Source organism: Homo sapiens, chromosome 11, assembly GCF_000001405.40.
Source record: "Homo sapiens chromosome 11, GRCh38.p14 Primary Assembly".
Lineage (NCBI taxonomy): Eukaryota > Metazoa > Chordata > Mammalia > Primates > Hominidae > Homo > Homo sapiens.
In genome coordinates this window covers 107,438,117-107,461,000 of record NC_000011.10, presented here as the reverse complement: position 1 = coordinate 107,461,000, position 22,884 = coordinate 107,438,117, and the positions used below count along the sequence as shown (strand labels likewise).

General features: G+C 37.0%; 1 protein-coding gene across 3 annotated transcripts in view, besides 1 other annotated feature; it reads left to right on the top strand.

Annotated features, from left to right (window-relative positions):
- Nucleotides 2,892-3,397: an enhancer, noted in NCBI's record as "H3K27ac hESC enhancer chr11:107328330-107328835 (GRCh37/hg19 assembly coordinates)". NCBI's record gives its function as "activates a minimal SCP1, AML or CMV promoter by ChIP-STARR-seq in naive H9 embryonic stem cells {active_cell/tissue: H9 hESC(naive)}" and the evidence as "EXISTENCE:reporter gene assay evidence [ECO:0000049][PMID:30033119]".
- Nucleotides 3,176-22,884, top strand: part of CWF19L2 (CWF19 like cell cycle control factor 2) — a 131,466-nt gene continuing 111,757 nt past the window's right edge. For all 3 annotated transcript variants that reach the window (XR_007062452.1, NM_152434.3, XM_011542620.4), the window contains exons 1-6: nucleotides 3,176-3,289; nucleotides 5,225-5,335; nucleotides 6,429-6,551; nucleotides 17,952-18,062; nucleotides 19,379-19,498; nucleotides 21,818-21,911. Coding sequence is in view for 2 of the 3 variants with exons in the window: in NM_152434.3 (NP_689647.2) it covers nucleotides 3,185-3,289; nucleotides 5,225-5,335; nucleotides 6,429-6,551; nucleotides 17,952-18,062; nucleotides 19,379-19,498; nucleotides 21,818-21,911 (664 nt within the window). In the remaining variant the exon portion in view is untranslated. The remainder of the gene's footprint in view (nucleotides 3,290-5,224; nucleotides 5,336-6,428; nucleotides 6,552-17,951; nucleotides 18,063-19,378; nucleotides 19,499-21,817; nucleotides 21,912-22,884) is intronic.

The window sequence follows — 22,884 nt, the reverse complement described above, 5'->3', positions numbered from 1 at the left end:
TACTATAAAGACATGCACACGTACGTTTATCTCTGCACTGTTCACAATAGCAAAGACTTGGAACCAACCCGAATGCCCATCAATGATAGACTGGTTTAAGAAAATGTGTTACATATACACCATGGAATACTATGCAGCCATAAAAAGGATGAGTTTATGTCCTTTGCAGGGACATGGATGAAGCTGGAAACCATCATTCTCAGCAAACTAACACAAGAACAGAAAACCAAACACCGCATGTACTCATAAGTGGGAGTTGAACAATGAGAACACATGGACACAGAGAGGGAACATCACACACCAGGGCCTGTTGGGGGGTGAGGGGCTGGGGGAGGGATAGCATTAGGAGAAATACCTAATGTAGATGACGGGTTGATGGGTGCAGCATACCTCCATACCACGTGTATACCTATGTAACAAACCTGCACATTCTGTACATGTACCCCAGAACTTAAAGTATATATATATATATATATATATATATATATATATATATATATATATATATATATATAAAGAATGTGGGTACATGTCTAAAGGACACAGGAACCAGCTTGAAAGGGCTCTCACTGGCCTAACCTGGACCAATTTGAGGATCAAAATAAATACTGATAACGAATTTTTATCCCACTGAACAAAAACAGGAATCCACTGAGAAATTATGAATCTGTATTATATAAAAATAAATAACTTGAAAATTTGGTACATGATCTACATAGTTTCAAAGAACCACTTCACAAAATACTTATTATAGAAGGAAAAGAGGTACTTTACAGCAGAGAAGCTCTGCAGATGCCAGTTTATTTAAATGATCAGAATTAACATCACCTGTAATGGAACAAATGGAAATCATGCGCTACCCAACAGGATGCAGTAAGACCGCCTCACTTCTGTGATCGTCCTGCTTAAGAGGCCAAATTTGAATTTAATCACAAAAGAACCTCCGACAAACCCAAGTTGAGTGACATTCTATAACACAACTATCCTGCAATCTTCATGAAACTTTTGTAGTTAATTGTGATCATCTGACCTATTTCTGGATCATAGGATTTAAATGAAAGAAACTGAACTAGGCTTTAGGAAAAGCCATCATTTTTCTAATAAAAAATGAGGCCAGCTTAGCTAACAACGTTTACCCTTTGTCCTTTCTCTTTATTCTTGTTTATCAGATGCCGTGAACAGATGTGAAAGAATATGATACCCTGCTTGTGACTACAAATACTAAAGTCACAGACTGCAACAAAGCGAAAAAGGATAAACTATTTGGCTCCTTCAGCAATTGCACCAAGCCTGGACCAGTTACTTTTAGGCTCCTTGTTACGTTATCCTTTATTTGATTAAGCCATGTGACTGGATTCGCATTAGGTGTGGCCAAATGCAAACCTAGCCAAAATAACCTGCTTTTTCTTTCTTTTCTTTTCTTTTCTTTTTTCTATTTTAACATATCTAGTTCCCCTCTCTAACCCCAACTTTTTTTTGGGCAGTTTTATTTGTATTGCATGGTATTTACAAATTAATTGAGAAATGATTTTTTATGATGTTTTCTTCTTTAAGCACATAGTATACCTCTCCATTCGTTCTAGTCTTTTTGGGGAGCTTATGCAAGATTTTAAAGTTTTCTTCATATAACTTTGCACATTGCTCTAGACCGAATGTTTGTTTCCCCAAAATTCTTATGTTGAAATCTAATCCCCAATGTGCTGGTATATGGAGGTAGGGACTCTGGGAGGTGATTAGGTCATGAGAGCAGCACCCTCATGAATTCCTATAAAAGAAGTTCTAGAGAGATCCCTCTCCCTTTCCGCCATATGAGACACAGCAAAAATACTGCCCTCTAGGAACCAGGACACACCTTCACTAGACAGCAAATAGCCCAACACCTTGATTTTATCCAGCCTCCAGAACTGTAAGACATACTTGTTTGTTATTTATAAGCCATCCATTCTATAATATTTTGTTATAGCAGCCTGAACTGATTAAAACACACACGTTTCTAATATAATCACAGTTTATTTTTATTGAATTGATGCAAAACAGTGAAATGGATGTTTTTCTGAATTCCAAGAGAATCTGAAAAGACGTTGATGCTAGTTATGACAAATATCAGTCAATGTAGTCAGTTGATTAAATATTACAAGGTCGATTAGTAAATTACATTTTAAAATAAAATGAATACTTTCTATTGCATATCAAACAAGTAGGCATTGTGTGTTCAAGATTCAGACTCATAGAATGGTAGTGAATGTAAAAACTCTTGGAAAGCTTCTTGCAAACACACATTAAATTTTATGAAACCTGAAGAGAAAGAGTATTTACCTCAACCTGGCTTATGTTACTTATTTTTAGCGTCTTTAAGGTATCGTTTATAATTAATTCCCCAGCCTTCTTCTTCTTGTAAATGTAAGCTTAGTGTCTTATGTTCTCAAAGCACTTCATCACCTTAGAATGTCTTATTCTTCTGAACTTAAAAGTTTTATGTTTGGGCGATACATGCGTAAAACAAAACAAAGAAATCTCCGCAGAAATAAATAAGTAACTGTCCATTGTAATGAAAAATGCTTGGATGGATAAGTATGAGTAAATAATATGGGGTCAGAGGAAAAAATATAATGTAAACTTCTAACAAGTTAAGCACGGGTAAATTGTGAAGTGCAATGCAAAATTCACATGAGTGTTTCATATATTAAGTAAAATCCACCAAAACAAAACACTGAATCTTCAAGGCAATTCTGTCCTTCCTGCCAGCTGCCACTACCTTTCTGGCAGCCTCCCTTTATCCCATTCCTCCAGCACAGGGAAATGATGCTCTGGCGACAAAGGGTACTTCCGCAGAAAACTTTTGAGAGGTACCAACTTAACTTCCAAGAGCTTGTAACTTACTCCGGTGATTTTAAGACGAAATTGGTGAGAAAGCTGTTAATATAGTAAAAAGTGCATAATAAATATATACGGGTATTAATCCTGCTCACAATCGCACCCAACACCTGAAAGAATTAAACCCTCCAACACCCTTCGGGTCTTTAAAATCTGGGCTGCGGTAATCCGAGCCCTAAGCGACCTCAGATGTGCGCATGCCCTGTTGGTGGAGCCGTGCTCCTCCTTCCTCGGGTCCGGAAGTCCCGGTTTGTTTGTTAAATTACGACCGTCGTAAACTAGAATTTTCTTGCGGCTTCTTAGCTTTACGATGGCAACAAGTATGGCGGCTGCTAGTGGTAGATTTGAAAGTGCGAAGAGTATCGAAGAGCGGAAAGAACAGACCCGGAATGCCAGGGCCGAGGTGTTGCGCCAGGTACCTCTGTTTTGGGGCTTTTGTAGTTATTTATTGTTGTGGGAGTTGAGGGTTCCCGTAAGCTAGCCCACTCACCCCTTCCCTTACCTCGTCAGTACTGAATCTCACCTTAATTTGGGTGAGTTCTCCCTTTGCAATGCCGGTAAACCCTTTTGTAGCTACCGATTTTTTAGATGTTCTGGCAGGTGCCAGTTGCTAATTCTCTTTTCAGGCAGATCTGTCGCTTTTTCTCCAAGTTTCTTTACCTTTTAAGTTACCCATTCTTTACATTTCTATCACTCGGACTGCACACTTTGTAGGTCCCCTGCGGCTTGTAAGGACTCTGCCAGCATGTCTCGCAGCCTCAGTCATTGCTACTGCTGTATCTGAAATGAGATTTTCCTTTTTCGGAAACACATTCAAGTCACACTTGAATAGACTCAGTTTGACATTTCCTCCTCCTGTCTCTATTGGTATCAATTCCAGACTTACTGTAAGCTCTTACCAATCCAAACAAAAGTTAACACCAATCTCAGTATATTTAGCCTGTCACAAAAGATCGCGAAACATTGTATTTCTCACTAAACTTCAGATACATAGAGGTAACATACAAAGAATGGAGAAAGTAAGCTTCTGAATTATCTGACAATCTATTCAATATGTAAGAAGTGTGGCAATGAAAGAGAAAAGTTGCAGTTGGAGAGCAACAGAGAATTCAGTGAGGGTTTTTGTTTTTATTTAAGTTGGAAGAGTTTTAAACAAGTTTAAATGCAAATGAGAAGGAGCCAGCAGAGAAGAGGGAGAGGAGACTCTAAAGGGAAAATGACATAGTTTCAAAATTTGGCAAATAATTTGAGGGTGAAGCAGCCCCATTCTCCTTTAATCTCCAATTTTCTCACCCTGTTCTTTGGAGTCCATCATAAGCCCTGCTCTTTTCTCTGATATCGATTTTTCTGTTTGGTATATAACCATTGTATTCATCTTCTTGCCTACACCAAGAATTATTATATGCACCCAGGGAAAAGCTAGCTGCAGAATGTTGGACTACCTCTCCATGATTTTCCCTTTTCTGGAATATTAACTCTTCTAGTTCTTGTTGCTTCAGCAGTTCTCTGATATAAACCTTTAATAAATTATTTTTATATTTGATTAAAAAAAAAAAGAAAATGACTACAGCCAGGTTTTAAAGGGGAAGAGTGGGCGATTAGTCTTGGGTAGGTGAAATGTTGGTATTGTTTCGTAATTTCAACATATGTAATGTGTGTGTGTGGGTATATATATATTATTCATTCTTTTCTCTTTGGTATTTCCAGCAGTTTTTGGAGGGAGTAAGTTTCGTAAGTTGAGATAAATCTTATAGTAGAGATATGCATAGAATTTGAAAAGGACCAAACTGAGCTTTGGAGTTACAGGGAAAGAAAGAGGGCAGGAACGATTTCCTAGGAAAAACTTGCTTTGTTTGACTATCATTGAAGAATGGATAAAAATTACCAATATGATCCTTTCTTTATACAGAGATGATTCTTCCTGAGGCATTTTTGGGGCTGGGTATTGGGGCTACAGGCATTGCATATTGAAGGCGTGGAGGTCTAACTGTTGCAAAAGTCTTAAGGCAGTAGCCATGGGAATGGTGAAGGGAAAAGGGATTCCAAGTCATATTGAGCTAGGGAGCTTAGAGAGATGGGAGGGCCTGGACTCAGTCCCTGGATTCTCTCTGATTGGTAACTCAAATCACTGGAGATTGGAAATGCAGAAGGAGAGATTTTTGCTTTGTTTTGTTTATTTATTTATTTTTTTATTTTTTTACACTGGAGAAGCAAATCCCTGGCAAGGAATAGACATTCATTCATGAGTGGATATTTTTGTATAAAAATGACAGAGGTTTTTGTTTTCCTTTTTTTGTGAAACCCAGTTGGGTCAATTGCCAGTTTGTCTTTTTTTTTTCTTTGGTTGTAGGCTAAAGCCAATTTTGAAAAAGAAGAAAGGCGTAAAGAACTTAAGCGACTTCGGGGTGAGGATACATGGATGCTACCTGATGTGAATGAGAGAATTGAACAGTTCTCACAGGTGAATACTAACAGGTTTACGTGATGTAAGGATATCTGTCCTTTTTTGCACGTATTCAAGTTAATATTGGATGAATAATTTTATAGAATGTTTTCATAAGTTACAAAATGAATATCACATAGTTGGCATTGCTGAATAGTTTCATCTCTTTGGCAGAGGTAAGATATTGTAATATTTTGGACATTATGACTCAAGTTTTGTTATTTGAGTTTGGCTAGTAGAAGACAGCTTCAAATTTCTGGCCCACTATAGCAAGCTTATAGGCCTAAAAATTTATGCATTTTAAGCTTTATGTATTTATTTTATTTTATTTTTTTAGGTCTCAAGCCTGTTTTCCTATAATTTTTTTAAAAATTATTTTTAATTGACAAATAATAATTGTGTAAATTTATGGGTTAGAGTGTGATGGTTTGATCTATGTATACATTATAGAAAGATTCAGTCAAGCTAATGAACATATCCATCACCTCATCAACTTATTTTTTTGTGGTGAGAACGTTAAAAGTCTGTTCTTCAATGGCTTTGAAATAGATAATACCTTATTATTAAATGTGGTCATCAGTAATAGATCACTAAAACTTATTTCTAGTGTCATGAAAACTTTGTACCCTTTGATCAACATCTTCCCTTTCCCTATCCTTGCTCCTTCCCCTAGCCTCTTCCTATAATTTTAATTTGTGCTATCTTGTTATATTTTTTATGGCCTAATAGTCTTGTATAAATTTTTGGGGAGACCATAGAGGGATATTATATGTATGTGTGTTTGTGTGTGTATAGATGCATGTATACATGTTTGTGTATATATGTGTTTATTTGATTATATTTGTCACATTAATCTACAAATAAAGCCAAAATTTTCCCAGTATTTTTCTGGTAAGAAGTCTCAGTTATATGATTTATTGATAGTGCATATATTATAGAAGGTGTGTTAAGATTTCCTGAAAGATTTTATTTATTTAGACATATTCTTGGTCTTATTTCATCAGAGATTGAAAGTTTTTTAGAATGTGGTTTATTTTTTTTCTCTCAGAATACATCCTTTTAAATTAAGATGAAATTAAATTATTTTCTTGCCTGTTCAAAATGATTGTAGGAACACTCTGTGAAGAAAAAGAAGAAAAAAGACAAGCATTCAAAAAAAGCAAAGAAAGAAAAGAAAAAAAAGAGCAAGAAACAGAAATATGAAAAAAACAATGAGTCATCTGATAGCTCATCAGTAAGTATGTACTAAAATTAATCAAAGCAGCTATTTGAGAACATTTTATTTGAATGTGTAACTTATGGGAAGTTAAAATACAAGAAAACGTAAAAAATATATTACTAGTTATGATATGAAAATATCTGGGATACATCTACTTAGAGATGTCCAGAAAATATTGGAAATGTTGATCTTGAATTTCAGAGAAAGGCTAAGAGGATAGGGATATGATTTGGGAATTATTGCTAAGCACAGCACTGGATCTTGCCCAAGGCCTGCTGTAACAATTACCTGGCTACAGCTGGTGTTCACTCAAGGCCCTGGGGCTCTGCAATCAGCAGGTGATGAAGCCAGCCAGGCCTGCGTCTTTCCCTTCAGGGTGGCAAGTTCCCCCAGGCCTGAGGGTGGGTCCAGAGGTGCCATCAGGGACCCAGGTACTGGCGTCAAAAACCTTAGACTTGTACCTGGTGTTCTATTGAACTGTGGCTGAGCTGGCATTCAACCTATGAATGGCAGTCCTTCCCACTCTTCCCTTTTCACAGGCAGAGGGGCCTCACCCTGTAGCCACCACCATAGACCCACAGGTAGTACTGGCAGGCTACCACTGATGTTCCCTTAAGGCCCAAGAACTCTTCAGTCAGCTGCCCGGCCTGGGACTCACCCTTCAGGGCAGTGGGCACCCCCTGGGCCAGGGCAGATCCAGAAATGCTATCCAAGAGCCAAGGCGTGGGGCTGGAGACCCCAAGATCCCTCTTGGTGTTCTACCACCCTGTGGCTGAGCTGGTACCTAAGGCGCAAGACAGAGCCCCCTTTACTTTTCTCAAGCAGAAGGAGGCTCTCCCCATAGCCACCACAGCTGGGAATGTGCTGAGTCTCACCTGAATCCAGCAAGTCTCAGATACACAGTGAAGGCCACAGTGTAGTACCCGATTATTGGTGCTGGTTATTCAGGGCCTAAGGGCTCTTTAGTGGTTACCAGCTATGGCTGAGCTGGTATTCAAGATGCAAGATGGAGTCCTGTATTTACTCTTCTCTCTCCTCTCCTCAAGCAGAAGGACAGGGTCTCTTTTGGAGCTGCACATTGTGCAGCCTTGGGTTGGGGGAGAGGTGGTGTAAGCACTCCCTTAGCTGCACCAGTTGCCCCCCAACCACCTGTCCATTGGCTCTGAGGCAAGTTTAGCACTAGGAGTCACCAAGGAATTCCACATCCTTGCTAGTACTTGGTATTGTCAGTCTTAGTAATTTTTAGCTATTCTACTGTGTAATGTCTCGTGTGATATTTCTCTGAAGAACAAGGATGTAGAGCATCATTTTAAGTCCCCATAGGGCATTCCATGTCTTTGTGAAATCTGATTTATTAAATATTTTCTTTTTTGTTTTTCATCATTTTTTCTTAGTGCTTCTGGTATCCTAATTTTTGCGCACCTCAAGATTGTGATTTCTCCTATGTTTATGTTATTATTAAATTTTTTTGTTTTTTGTTTGTTTTTAGAGATGGAGCCTCACTATGTTGCACAGACTGGAGTGCAGTGGCACCATCATGGCTCATTGCAGCCTCAAACTCCTGGGCTCAAGCAATCCTGCTGCCTTAGCAGCCCAATTAGCTATGACTACAGATGTAGTACAGAAAAGTTGTTTTTGTAGACATGGAGTCTTACTATATTGTCGAGGCTGGTCTCGAACTCCTGGGCTCTAGTGATCTCCTGCCTCAGCCTTCCAAAGTGCTGGGATTACGGGTGTGAGCCACCATGCTTGGCCTCCTATTTTTTTTCCCTAGAAGTTTTATAGCTTTGGCTTTTTTGCTTATTTATAATCCATTAATAATTTTTATTTATGTTGTGTAGTGTCAGTTTATTTTTTTCCCACGTGGATTTCCAGTTTTTCTAGCATCATTTGTTGAAAAGGCTGAATTTTCCCTATTGGAAGGAATTTAGGGAGATAGATATGTTAAAATATTCTTTCAATCCATTATGCACTTGGTACATCTCTCTATCCATTTATGTCTTTGATTTTTCTCACAATGTTCTGAAATTTTTAGTGTAGAGATCTTACATGTCGTTTGTTATTTTTTTTCCATTTTGTTTTCTGGAAGTGCTATCGTGAGTGGAATTTTAAATTAAATGTGTTTACAGCTAGTATGTAATTATAGAAGTGACTTGAAACATTAGGATCAGAAAAAAAAGAAAAAAGTGAAAAAAAACCTGCTTTTGATATATTCACCTTGCCTCTTATCACCATGTTAAAATTACTAATACTAGTGTTAGTAGCTTTTTTAGTAGATTTCTTAGGATTTCTAGGTAAATGGTATGTCATGTGTGAAAAAGACTTTTACTTTTTTCTTTTCAGTCTCTGTGCCTGTTTTATTTGTTAATTGTTGTTGCCTTATTTCAGTAGCTAGGACTTAAAAATAGTGTTGAATGGAAGTGGTGAGAGTGGACATGATTGCCTTTTTCCTTATCTTAGGTGCAAAGCATTCAGGTTTTTACATTTAAGCATGATGTCTGCTGTGGGACTTTCATGTATGCCTTTTCAGATTAAGGAAATGACATTTTATTTCTAGTTTTCTGAGAGTTTGTATCTTGAATGAGTATTGAATTTGGTAAGTGCTTTTTTTGCATCTATAAGTGTTAAAATTTGCCAGTGAAACGGTTTGGTCCTGGAGTTTCTTTGTGGAATGGGTTTAACGACAGAGTTAATTCCTTTAATAGTTGTGTTAAATACTTTCTGTTTATTCTTGAGTTAGTTTTAGTAATTTCGGTTTTTCTGGGAATTTATTCCATAGAAATTGTCAAATTTATTGTCATAAAGTTATTTGTAATATTTCCTTTGTTCTTTTAATGTTTACGGAATCCATAGTGATACCCCTCTTTCATCCCTGATTTTGGTAATTTCTATTTTCTGTTTGTTTCCTCTGTCAGTCTGTCTTGAGGCTTATCAGTTTTATTAATCTTTCTTTATTGCCTTTTAGTTTCCTTGAATTTTCTCTGGTTGTGTGTTTTCTATTTCATTGATTTAAACTATATTTATTCTTTGCGAATACTTTGTGTTTAATTTGCTCTTCTTTTTCTAACTTTCTAAGATGAATGTATCGCCACTGATTTGAAATCTTTTCTAACGTGTATTTATTTTATAAAATTTTCTCATAGCACTGTTGTATCTCTACGTAACTTTGATGTTATATTTTCATTGCTGTCCCATTCAAAATATTTTTTACTTTACTTTTTCTTACTCATGGATATATAAGAGTTTTTAAACTTGCAGATATTTGTGGATTTTTCTAGTTTTTTTTTGGGTTATTGACTTTGATTTTAATTATTATGTTATACTCTGTATAATTTCAGTTTTTAAAAAGTTTTTGAGACATTTTATTTTCTAGCCTATGATCTATTTTGGTGAAAATTCCATATGTATTTGAAATGAGTATGTATTCTGCCATTGTTAGGTATAGTGTTTTATAAATGTCAATTAGGGAAAGTTGACTAATAGTATTAAGTTTAGTGTTAATGATTTTCTGTTCACCTGTTCAGTCAGTTACTGAGAAAATAGTATTGAAATCTCTTAATTGTTTTGTGGATTTTACCTATTTCTGCTTTCAGTTTTGTCAGTTTTTGCCTTATGTAATTTTGAAGCTTTATTAGGTACATAGACAGCTCCTTGATGAACTGACTGTTGTTACGAAGTTTTCGTTTTTATCTTTGGTAATACTCTTGTCTGAAGTCTCTTGTATCTCATATTAATAAAGCCTCTTCAGTTTTCTTTTTTTGTGTGTTTTCATCGTCTTTTTAAAATTCTTTTAGTTTTAATGTACCTTTTTTATATATTGAAAGTGTATTTCTTGTAAGCAGTGTATAATTGGGTCTTGCTTTTTTATCTCGCCTATCAATTTCTTCTTTTTTATTTTATTGATTGATTGATTTATTGATTGATTGACAGAGTCTTGCTTTGTTGCCCAGGCTAGAGTGTAGTAGATCACTGCAGCTTCAACCCCTGGGGCTCAAGTGACTCTCCCACCTCAGCCTCTTGAAAGCTGGGACTACGGGTGTGCACTTCGACGTCCAGGATATATATATATGAGTTTTTAAATTTCCAGATATTTGTGGATTTTATTAGGTTTTTTTGGTTATTGACTTTGGATTTAATTATTATTTTATTGTACTCTGTATAATTTCAGTTGTTAAAAAGTTTTTGAGACATTTTATATTCTAGCCTATGATCTATATATATTTTGTAGAGATGTGGTTTTGCCATGTTGCCCAGCCTGGTCTCAAAGTCTTGACCTTAAGCAATCCTCCCACCTGGGACTCCCAAAGTGCTGGAATTACAAATGTGAGCCACTGCATCTGGCCTCTTCCTTTTTTTTTTTTTTCTTGAGATGGAGTCTCACACTGTCACCCAGGCTGGAGTGCAGTGCCGCAATCTTGGCTCACGTCTCTTACTTTTCAATTAGATGTTTTTTGTGCTCTCTAATCTGTTAGCTGTTTATGGCTTTTAAATTTTTTGTTAAAATTCATTAAAATTATATCAGCCAAATTTATGTGGCTACTATATTCGACAGTATATAGAAAAATTCTTTGAATAGTACTGGTTTGGATTATTTATGTTTAATGTAATAATTGATATGGATGAGTTTAAGTCTACCATGTTGTTATTCCTTTTCTATTTTTTCTTTGTTCTTTTTTCCTTTGTTCCTTCCTTTTCCTGTCTTTTGGATCGAGTGTTTTTTAGCATCCCATTTCATCTGCTGTAGGCTTATTAGGTATACCTTATTTATTTTTAATGACTGCTTTAAGTCTTATGCATATTTTAACTTACCATACTCTCAAATAATATATAATTTTACTTTTATAATTAGACTTTCACCAAAATATACTTCCATTTTCTCCTACCATATTTTTTGCTATTGTTGTCATATATTTTACTTCTACATATGTTATAAACCCACATTGTTTATAATTTTTAATGTCATACATTCTTTTTATTTATACTTTAGTCAGTTATCTTTTAAATAAGTTACACATATGAAGAAAGTCTTTTATATTTACCCACAGATTTATCATCTCTGATATTCTTTATTATTTTATGTAGGTCTGAATTTCTGTCTAATACCATTTTCCTTTTGTCTGTAGAACTTTCATTAACATGTATTATAATATGGATTTGCAGACATTGTATTCTCTCAGCTTTTGTTTGAAAATTTCTTTTATTTCATCTTCATTCTTTTTTTCTTTTACCACAAACTCAGAAGTTCCTACTAGCAATCTTCATTTTTCAGATACTTGGCTAGATAAAGAATTTTAAGTTTATAGTGTTTTCTTTTTTTTTTTTTTTTTGCACTGTAAAATGTCATCCCATTGTCTTCTGGTTTGCATTGTACATATTGAGAACTCTGTAGTCATTGTAATATTTTTTCTCTGTATGTAGTGTGCCTTTTTATTCTGGATGCTTTTAGGGCTTTTTTTTTCATCATTATTTTTCAGTGAATCAATTGTGATATGTCTTGGTATTGATTTCTTTGTGTTTATTCTACTGTCTTAGTTCATTTGGGCTGCTATACCAAAACTAACTGGGTGGATTATAAATGACAGAAACTTATTTCTCACAGTTTGGGAGGCTAGAAAGTCTAAGATCGAGGCGCTGGTAGACTTTGTGTCTGATGAGGGTTCAGTTCCTCAGAGATGGCTGTCTTCTCACTCTAACCTCATATGGCAGAAGGGAGTGCTCTTGGGCTATGTTTTATAAGGGCACTAATCCCATTCCCAGTCATCTCCCAAAGGCCTCAGCCCCTATTATCATTGTCTTGGGAGTCAGGATCTCAACATAAGAATTTGGTGGGGGACACAAACATTCAGAGTGTAGCATCTGCCTTAGGTTCATTGTGCTGCTTTGATTTGTGAGTTTACAGTTTCCATCAAATATGAAACTTTCAGGCTTTTTTCGAAGTATTTTTTTTTTCTGTTCCCTCTCATTTTGGTAGTCTCCTTAAAATAATGTCTCACAGGTTGATGAGCCTGTGTTCACTTACTTTCTAGCCTTTTTCCTTTCTATGCCTTGGGTTGGGTATATTTTATTGCTATGTCGTGAGCTTCAGGTTTACTGGCCTTTTTTTTTTTTTTTTTTTTTTTTTGTGACGGAGTCTCGCTCTGTTGCCAGGCGGGAGTGCAGTGGCGTGATCTCAGCTCACTGCAACCTCCGCCTCCTGGGTTGAAGTGATTCTCGTCCCTCAGCCTCCTGAGTAGTTGGGATTACAGGTGCTCATCACCACGTCCAGCTAATTGTTTGTATTTTTAGTGGAGATGGGGTTTCACCATGTTGGCCAGGATGGTCTGGATCTCCTGACCTCGTGATCTGCCTGCCTCAGCCTCCCAAAGTGCTGGGATTACAGGTGTGAGCCACTGCGCCTGGCCGACTGGCCTTTTCTTTTGCTGTGTCTAGCTTACTGTTATCCCTATCCAGTGACATTTTCATTTCAGGTACTGTATTTTTTTTTTATCATTAGATGTTTCGTTTGGATCTTTCTAATGTTTTTCAGTTTATCTCCTCATTATCTTTACATTTTCCCTTCCTTGAACATATTTATGATAGCTGTGTTAAAGTCTTGGTTTGCTGTTTCATTTTCTCTTGTTTTTTCCTGTTCTGTTTCAATTAAATGATTTTTCTCTTGAATATGGGTCACATTTGCTTGCTTCTTTGAATGTCTAGTAACTTTTAATTGGATGCTGAACCCTATGAAACTTATATTGTGACTGCTGGATTTTGTTGACTTCTTCAGAGAGTATTGAGTTTCCTTTTGGCATACAGTTAATTACTTGTGAATTAGCTTAATCCTTTTCAAGGATTGTTTTTAAGTTTTGTTCGTATGCACCTAGAATAGCTTTACTCTAGGACTGGTTTAGCCTTTCTACTAAGGCATGACCTTTGTGGGTTCTCTGCTGATTGTCATGGATGTTCAGCGAGGTTTCTTTATTCTGGTTGGGAGGAACTAGAATGTCTTCCAGCCCTTTGTGAGCTCTGGGGATTGTTCTGCTTACAGCTCTTTGGTAATTGTTTTCTCCATGGTAATTTTTCTTTGCCTGACCTTGTGGACTCTCATCCTCAGCATGTTCAGCTTGGTCTTTCTTTAAAGACTCCAGGGGTCCTTTAAGTAGATTTCTGGCACCCTTTCTCTGTGTAACTTCCCATCTGTACTTTTGTTTCAGCCTTCACAAAGTTCAAATTCCGTTTCCTTTGCTCAGTGAGATTTTCATGTTCTGCTTGGGTTACCCCTCTATGCCACAGTCTAGAAAGTGCCTTTAGATAAAAAGCTGTAGAGATTGTAGTTTCATTTTTATTCCAATTTGTATGTATTTCTAGTTTGATGCCATTTATTTTGTCAAGGACAGAAGCAGAAGTCCTCAAGATCCCTTGAGTTTTGCTGGTAGCACTTTTCTGTCTTAGTTCCACCTTCTAGGTTTTGACCACTAGATAGAATTAGAGGTGTGGTTAATTCTGCAGGCTGCACAAGAGAAGGAGAGCCCTGAAGGCTGTGTTAGGTCAGGAGGCGTATTAAGCTTGATAGTTAATGAGTTCAAGGTAAAATGGAGATTGAAACTAAAATTAGCAAGAGAACTGAAGTCGTAGCATGGGGAGCATCAATTTTGCTGAAGTGGTAAGGTGAGTGAGTGCATAATTGTGAAAATGAGTATAGGTTGCTGCTTAAAAGTTTCTGACTAGTGCTATTGAAAGAGTAGAAAAAGACATTTCATTTAATTTCAGCTTGCATTTATCAAATGCTTATTCTTTGCCAGACACTGTTCTAGACATGGGGAATATAAAAATATATTTTTAAACCTTTGGGGAACTCATTTCCTAATTGGATAAATAGATACATAATATTAATAATATGATTTTGTAGTAGATTTTGTAGAAGAAGATGTTGGCTTTATTTTCTGTTGTTACTGAGTTTAGCATACCATCCAACATGATGCCATGGTAGTACAGGGTATTAAGAGGGATTTCATTTGCTAACTTGTTGATTAAATGATGCTTGAATTGAGACTAGATAGATTAGTAAGCATTAGGCAAATAAAGGTGTGCTTGGCATTTCATGCATAAGGAATTGCGAGAGCAGAGACATGGAAGTATGAGATAATATGAGTGTGAGTATGTGTGTATGTATGTAAATATAACTATAAGCAATTTGATAGTACTAAATTATAAAACAAGAGGAGGGGGTGAATGGAGATGAAACTGTAAGAATTAATAGGGCCTTGTAAACCAAGAGCTTTGACTTTATTCAGTAGGGAATGTATCATCTAATTGGGTTCAGCTGCATTTATTAGAAAATCTCAGAATAGCCATTGATTATACAAGATAGAAATTCATTTTTTTCTGATATGAAATAAGTCAGGTAGACAGTCTAGGGCTAGTATGGTCTTCTGGGACCTAGGCTTCTATTGTCTTGCTTTTCCATCATCCTTACAGCATTGCCTCTTAGTCCAGATAACAGGAAAGAAGATGCTCTTTTTTTTCTTAACTTGACTTCCAGAAAGTCCCATAAAATACTTTTGTTTACATCTAATTGGACACTTGATCATAAGGCTTCACTTTCTAGCATGGGAAGTACATTACTTCTCCAAATAAAATGGGATTCTGTTGGTAGGAAAGAAGAGGGATAACTAGCAGTCTTTGTAATGGGAAGCCCTAGAAGAGAAGTACGGTGGTCAGATGTTCCCTTTATATTACTCTAAATGTATTTGGGGTGAGGGGTTGGAGAAAGAAGGGGAGCAGGAAAGATGAGTCCAGGAGATTAATTAGGTCTCCTGGAATCAGTTGTTTAGGTGAGAGATAAGATCTGATCTAGGGCTACTACTTTTTTTTTTTTTTTAAGGCGGAGTTTTGCTCTTGTCCCCCAGGCTGGAGTGCAATGGCACGATCTTGGCTCACCACAACCCCCGCCTCCCGGGTTCAAGATACTCTCCTTCCTCAGCCTCTCAAGTAGGTGGGAGTACAGGCATGCGCCACCACATCTGGCTAATTTTTGTATTTTTAGTAGAGATGGGGTTTCACCATCTTGGCCAGGCTGGTCTCGAACTCCTGACCTCATGATCCACCCGCCTCGGCCTCCCAAAGTGTTGGGATTACAGGCGTGAGCCACCGCGCCCAGCCTGGGGTGCTACTTTAAGGATCAAAGAAGAGAATATTAGTTGGTATTTTGGTTGCAGGTAACAGAAACTAAATATAAATTGGATTTTGCAAAAAGGATTTATTATTAAAGTACAAAATTCTCATAAGACATATAGATGTAGGAATGCAGCTAGGCTTCAAGAATAGCTGGAATTAGAATTGTGAATGGTTTTTGCAATTTTCTTGCCATTTTTCATTTCCCCTACCCTGAGTTCTAGTTTTTAAAAAATTTTTGCTGATTTCTATTTCTCATGACAGAAATGGCCTCTCCCAATGCCTTCCCATTTCTTAGTTTTAGATAAGCCCATTTAGACCTGATTTCAGATTCCTGTGGAATGGCTCAGGTTGATGTGAATTGGGTCAGGTACCTACGTTTGAACTAATCAGTAGTGGCCAGGGATAGAGGTAGGCTCGTATGGTAATCATGTATTCACTCTATGGTATATTTAATAAATATTTTAAAAATGAAAATGGTAGGCTTGAATATGTGAGGTAACATCATCCTGAGTTTCTGACTTGGTTTAAGTGGGTGGTTGGTTGTTCCAGATAACTCAGTTCAATACTATACAAGGAGAAGTAGATTTTGTAGAAGAAGAGGATAGCTTTATCTTCTGTTCTTACTGAGTTTAGCATGCCATCCAACTGCAGTAGACAATTAGTCAGTGAAACTTTGGTTAGACAAATTTGAAAGATATCAGCACAATTTATTGTAGTTCAGGCGATCAGAATGGATTTAATGGCCCAAAGGGAATGTTTAGACATTGAAAAATGTCATGGGCAAAGAATGGAATCCCAAATAACAAGATATTTAAGGGCTAAGCAAAGGAGGAAGAGTTCATGAAGGAAATGGAGAAGAAACAGAGTGGGAGGAGAGCTGAGAGGTGTCATGGAAGCCAGGAAAGTGAGTTATCAACAGAGTTGCATTAAGCAGAGAGGTCTAGAGAGCTGAAGACTGAAACGTTTTGTTGAGTTCGGCACAGTGGAAGCCACTGGTGAGTTTGGAGAAGTTTCAGTAGATTAATGGGGACAGTAGATGTATTGTAGAGTTTTGAGAAAATGTATGAAAGTGAGAGTGTGAAGGCGGTGCATGTAGACTACTCTTTCAAGAAGTTCATCTGAGAATGGAAGCCGGAAGATTAATTCCTGCTAGAGGAGGAATATACGGGGTCAAGGAAGGTCCCCCTTCCCTCCTTAAAAAAAAAAAAAAAAGGGTGGGAAATGCTTGAAATTGTTTCTAGGCCATTAGGGATCTTTGGTTAATGCCGTGAGAGGAGAAGATAATTGATGGAGCAAGGTCCTGGAGGAACAGAAAGAGTTATCAAAATCTTTAGAGCAAGATCTGCCTTAAATAGGAGGAGTTAACTGGAAATAAGGATAGGCACAGCCATAAATGTTTTGGGCGGTGGGTAGGAGGATAAGGTGGCCCTAGTTTTCTTGATGAGGTAAAAGAAGACATCATTTGCTGAGAATATGGGAATTGGTATAAAGCTTCAGGAGGGTGTTGAAGAAGATAATGTTATCTGCAGTTTTAGATCAAGGGAAATCTCAAAATGTGAAACTTAGGGGCAAACAGCAAATTCGTTTACCTGGGTGGTGTTTCCCCTGTTCTAGTGAAGCAGAGATGTGAGTAACTACTTGACGTTGGTAGTCACTGAAGCTCTGTGCTGAAGTGAGGTCTCTACTTGGCAGTTCCCATTTTTGTTTTTTTGCCTTCTCTTGGCTTGATAATAAATGGATGAGAAAATAAAAATAATTTGGTTGTGTTTGGTGGGCTTAACTCAAACTAGTGGGTTTATATGTTTTTTCTTTAAAAAAATTTTTTTTTTTGAGACGGAGTCTCTGTGGCCCAGGTTGGAGTGCAGTGGTGTGATCTTAGCTCACTGCAACCTCTGCCTCCTGGGTACAAGCGATTCTCCTGCCTTAGCCTCCTGAGCAGCTGGGATTACAGGCATGCGCCACCACGCTTGGCTAACTTTTTTGTATTTTTAGTAGAGATGGTGTTTCACCATGTTTGCCAGGCTGGTCTTGTACTCCTGACCTCAAGTAATATGCCTGCCTCAGCCTCCCAAAGTGCTGAGATTACAGGTGTGAGCCACCACACCCAGCTCTTTAAAATTTCATTGCCATTTTGTAAAGGGGAAATACAGTGTAAGAATTTTTTTCTACGATGTTGAATTTCTACCACTTAACAGCACAGAATTTTTATATCAAAGTATGCAAATTTGACAATTTCACTTATATGCTAAATGTTCTTAGAGCTCTGAAGATGAGTGGGTTGAGGCTGTTCCATCCCAGACTCCTGACAAGGAAAAAGCCTGGAAAGTGAAAGATGAAAAGTCAGGAAAAGATGACACCCAAATTATCAAGGTAAGCAAGCCACTTGATTTTCCTTCCTTGCTTTCTTCCTTCCTTCCTTCCTTCCTCCCTCCCTCCCTCCTTCCCTCTCTATCCCTCCCTCCCTCTCTGTCCCTCTCTCCCTCCCTCCCCCTCCCTCCCTCCCTCCCTCCCTCCCTTCCTTCCTTCCTTCCTTCCTTCCTTCCTTCCTTCCTTCCTTCCTTCCTTCCTTCCTTTCTTTCTTTCTCTTTCTCTCTCTCTCTCTCTTTCTCTCTTTCATTCATTTTAGAGACAGGGTCTCACTCTGTTGCCCAGGCTGGGCCGCAGTGGCACAATCAGAGCTCTCTGCACCCTCGACCTCCCAAGCTCGAGTAATCCTCCCACCTCGACCTCCCTGGTAGCTGGGACCACAGTTGTGTGCCCACCACGCCTGGCTAATTTTTTTATTTTGTGTAGAGTTGGGGTCTCCCTATGTTGCCTAGACTGGGTCTCAAACTCCTGAGCTTGAGCAATCCTTCCACCTCAGCCTCCCAAAGTGCTAGAATTAGAGACGTGAGCCACTGCACCTGGCCTATCACTTGGTTTTAAAGAAAAAAGTATCAACTTTTGAGAATAAATGAATATGAAAATGAAAGATGATTAAAATTTCTTCAGGAGAACAATTAGACTTTGAAAACAATATACTTTAGGAATAATTTTGGCAGTACTGCTGTTTGCTGAATGTTTAGAACCCCCTTCCCCTTCTACTGTGAGAAAGTGAGTGTTCCTCTCTATTCTCGTTCCTTAGAGGCTTTCATGCTTTTGATTGTTGATAAGAAGTGGCACTTTCCCCTTATGTCCCTAAAGCCTTATACTGTATCTCTGTCTGACCCTTCTATAGTGAGTGGAGTTCCATCACAGTTTTTTTTCCCTTCACCTCATGCCTTAATTTTCTTAACAATACTTAACAGTTGAATAGTTCAAAAATTTTGGGCTATAGTTCATCTGCCTCAGGAAGAATGTAATTTGTCCACTGTTAGCCACAGGTGAAGGAAGAAAGGTGAACAGGAACTAAGTTTGATTGCTTGTTGTGTGCCAGGCTTTGGGCTGGATGCTTTAGATCTGTTATCTTGTTTACTCTTTAAAACAATCCTGAAAGGTAGGGATTTTATACCATTTTATAGAGGAGAGACTAAAGTATAGAGAGATTTAGAAGCTTGCTTCAAGTTATATAGCCATGTAGGACTTGTTTCAGGTTTGATTGCCTCCAAAGTCCCTGCTCTTATTACCAAGTGTTTATTAAATTCTAATCAGTTCAGATTGAAATGATGAGTGGATGACTGTTGATTTTATGTCTTTTTTTTTAACAGAGGGATGAGTGGATGACTGTTGATTTTATGTCTGTTAAAACTGTGTCATCATCATCACTCAAAGCTGAAAAGGAAACTATGAGGAAAATAGAGCAAGAGAAAAACCAAGCGCTTGAACAGGTAAGAGAATATTTGAAATGCTTTAACTTTCTAATTTACCTTTAATAAACTTACAAGACATTTATATAAATGCAGTTTAACTTGTAAAATACCATTTTATTTTTTATAGTATTTAATACAATTAGTGAGAACAACTATGAAATACATCAGTTTAAGAAAAATAAATTTCCTATAGGAAGTGAGTTTAAAGGTTTACTAGATTTATAAATCTAGGGCATATATAAAGTTGAGTGAATATTGAGTTTAATATCATTAAATTGAAAGTGAACTCACTCAATTTTTGTTTCAGTGTACATACTGAATTAGACACCATGAAAATACTTCCATTTCAAGACATCTAGAAATTCTGGTGGATATAATGTAAAATAAGCATGCTTATTTTATACTTTATTGTTGTCACTTTGCTAGTAAGGAAGCAATAGGAAATCTGTAGAGACCAAAAAATGAGGCAAAAGCATGAATCCAGAGAAGTAAGGAAGTGCTGAAGCTGATGACTTTCCTAGGGGCATCACACAATCCTGGTAATCTGGAATTCCAATTTATACTGTACCAGGAGCATATGTTTCTTTTCCAGTACTCAGTATCTGTAATTGTCAAACTTTATATATTTTTTTATCAGCCTAATAAATGGGTGAGAAATGGTATTTCATTGTTTTTGTTCGCATTTATCTGATTGCTACCAGAGAGGTCTTTTCATGTTTTTTGGTCATTCAGATTTCTTGTACTGGGAGCTGCTCATTTATGTTTTTTGCTTACTTTTCTACCAGGGTTGTTTGTCTTTTTCTAACTGATTTATAGAAGTTATTTATGTTTTCAATCCTTTGTCTTTTATACATTTTCAGATAGTATCTCATAATTTGTCTAGCCTCTTGTCAATTGTCCTCAGTATGCAATTCTAGCCTTTTTTGTCCTGTTGAGTATCTTATGTGTATATTTTTGAGAGTCTTAAGACCATTGGAAGAAATTCCTTGACTATAGATATTGAAAGATTTTGTGGTAAACTAACAAGGGAGGTGACAGAACCTTTTTTGATACAAACTAAGAAATCAAATCTGTATGGTTTTGTATATCCCTTTAGGTTAAACTTTAACTTAAATTTTGTCCTTTGAAGGTTCTTTTTCGTCAGCTCATGGATACATTTAAAAAAGCCCTTTTAAAAACAAATTTTACAGAGCATTTTAATTTTCAGTAGTATATTGTATTCCTGGAAACTAAAGTTCCTAACATTTAGCTCGTTCCATTTCTTGCCATCCTCTTGCCATTATTACTTCTTGTAGGAAGCATTTTCTAACCCCCCACTCCCAGGGTCAACTTCGGTATCATTAGTATGTAGTTCTTTAGCACCCTTTACTTTGATCTCACATACCTATATTTATATTGCTTGATTGTCTTTCCCCCTTCTCTAGACCATAATTTATTTAATGGCAAGGACCATGGCCGCGTCACACATTACAGTCCCAGTGCCTGGCATCGTGCTTAGAACACAGGAGACACTTGCATTGTGATTAGGCTACTATCATCTGTTGCCTGGATTACTGCCACAGCCTTCTGACTGAACTTGTGCCTCTGATCTTGTTCTCCAGACTTTCCTCCATGCTGAGCCCAGTTTGCTCTTTGTGTGATATGAAGCTGATCACATTCATGAGTCTCTTTTGGCCCCAGCATGAAACCCTCATAGCAGTTCAAAATGGCTCACGTGGCCCAGTCCCTGATTATTCTACAACATAATCTCTTGTCATTAGTCACTCACAGTTTTAGCCAATTAGAATTATTTCTAAGTTTCCTGAAACTGCTGCACTTTCTCTTTCTCTGTTGTTTTAAGAACGTGCTGTTATTCTTTCTACCTGGAACATCTTTATACTCCCTACCCTACAAAAAAAGAAAATGCGGTTAATTTATGCTCATCCTTGGACTGCACATATTACTTCCTCTAGGAAGTCTTTGATCCTTTATTGTGAGAGGGATTTGAATTCTTTTTGCATCCTCAGTACTGTATACTTCTGTCTTCAAAGTACATGTCTGTTTTTATTGTCTGTGTTCCATACTGAACTAAAAGTTAGCAAGGGCTGACCAGGATTTTTGACAGTTAAATCTTCTGCAACTAGCACAGTTTTAAGATATAGTAGGCATTAAATAAGAACATTGAATGAATGTGAATTTAGACATTTCCTGTAAGTTACAGAACAGCATATCTTAAGAATGTTTTAAATGATTTGTCCAGGGTTATGACTATTAACTGGGTCTCAGATTTATTATTTGTTAATTTTTTATAATTTGTTAATTTTTTGAAATTTCACCTCTGAAAATAATTTGTTCTAGTCCAAACTGATGGAAAGAGAATTGAATCCGTACTGGAAGGATGGTGGGACAGGTCTTCCACCTGAAGACTGTAGTGTGTCATCGATTACTAAAGGTATTTCTACATTTTGATTATAGACACACAGGGTTTTTTTTTTTTTTTTTTTTTCGAGACAGAGTCTCGCTCTGTCAGCCAGGGAGTGCAGTGGTGCGATCATGGCTCACTGCAGCCTCCACCTCCCCCTCAAGTGATCCTCCCACCTCAGCCTCCCAAGTAGTTGGGATTACAGGTGCATGTCACCACTCCCAGATAATTTTTTATAGAGATGTGGTTTCACCATGTTGCCCAGCCTAGTCTTGAACTCCTGGGCTTAAGCCTTGACCTAACTGCCTTGTCCTGCCAAAGTGCAAGGATTACAGGTGTGAGCTACTGCGCCTGGCCTCAGGCATTTCTTTTGGTATTATAAGTGTATGACCCAAGTTTACGTATGAGAAAGCATTGATAAAAATTTGCAGTCTTTGGAAGGCTAATTTAAATTATTAGTACTATGGAAGATTGTTTTAATTATGATGTATTTGGAGCAGGTTAATTAAATACATAGTTTTATACTTGAAAATATTCTCATATATGAGTTTCTACTTAAACTGGATTAATACAAAGTATGATTCTATGAGTACATAATAATGCATTTGGTTTGTTACATTCTGTAACAAAATATAAAAAGTATCTGAAATTTCATGAAAATAATGTATAAAAACTAAAGATGTGGTTTGTATATTCAGAATTTCCTGCTTTTCTAGAATTCTTAAAATTTGTATTGACCTTAGGAGAGTGCTATTATTTTCCAGCAGATGGAGACAAAATATTTAAATGTCACGTAAGCATACTTTATAACACAATTTTAAAATTACTTATATTCCCATTAAGTGTTGTGCTGACACCTCAAAAGTTTATTACAACTAACCCATTATACAGATGGTAGTATTACAAATTGTGATGTTCTCTTTTCACCTTAGTGATTTATCAGTAGGATGTTTTCCTGCTTTTTATACATAATGTATTTTTATTTTGGTTATTTGTTAAAATT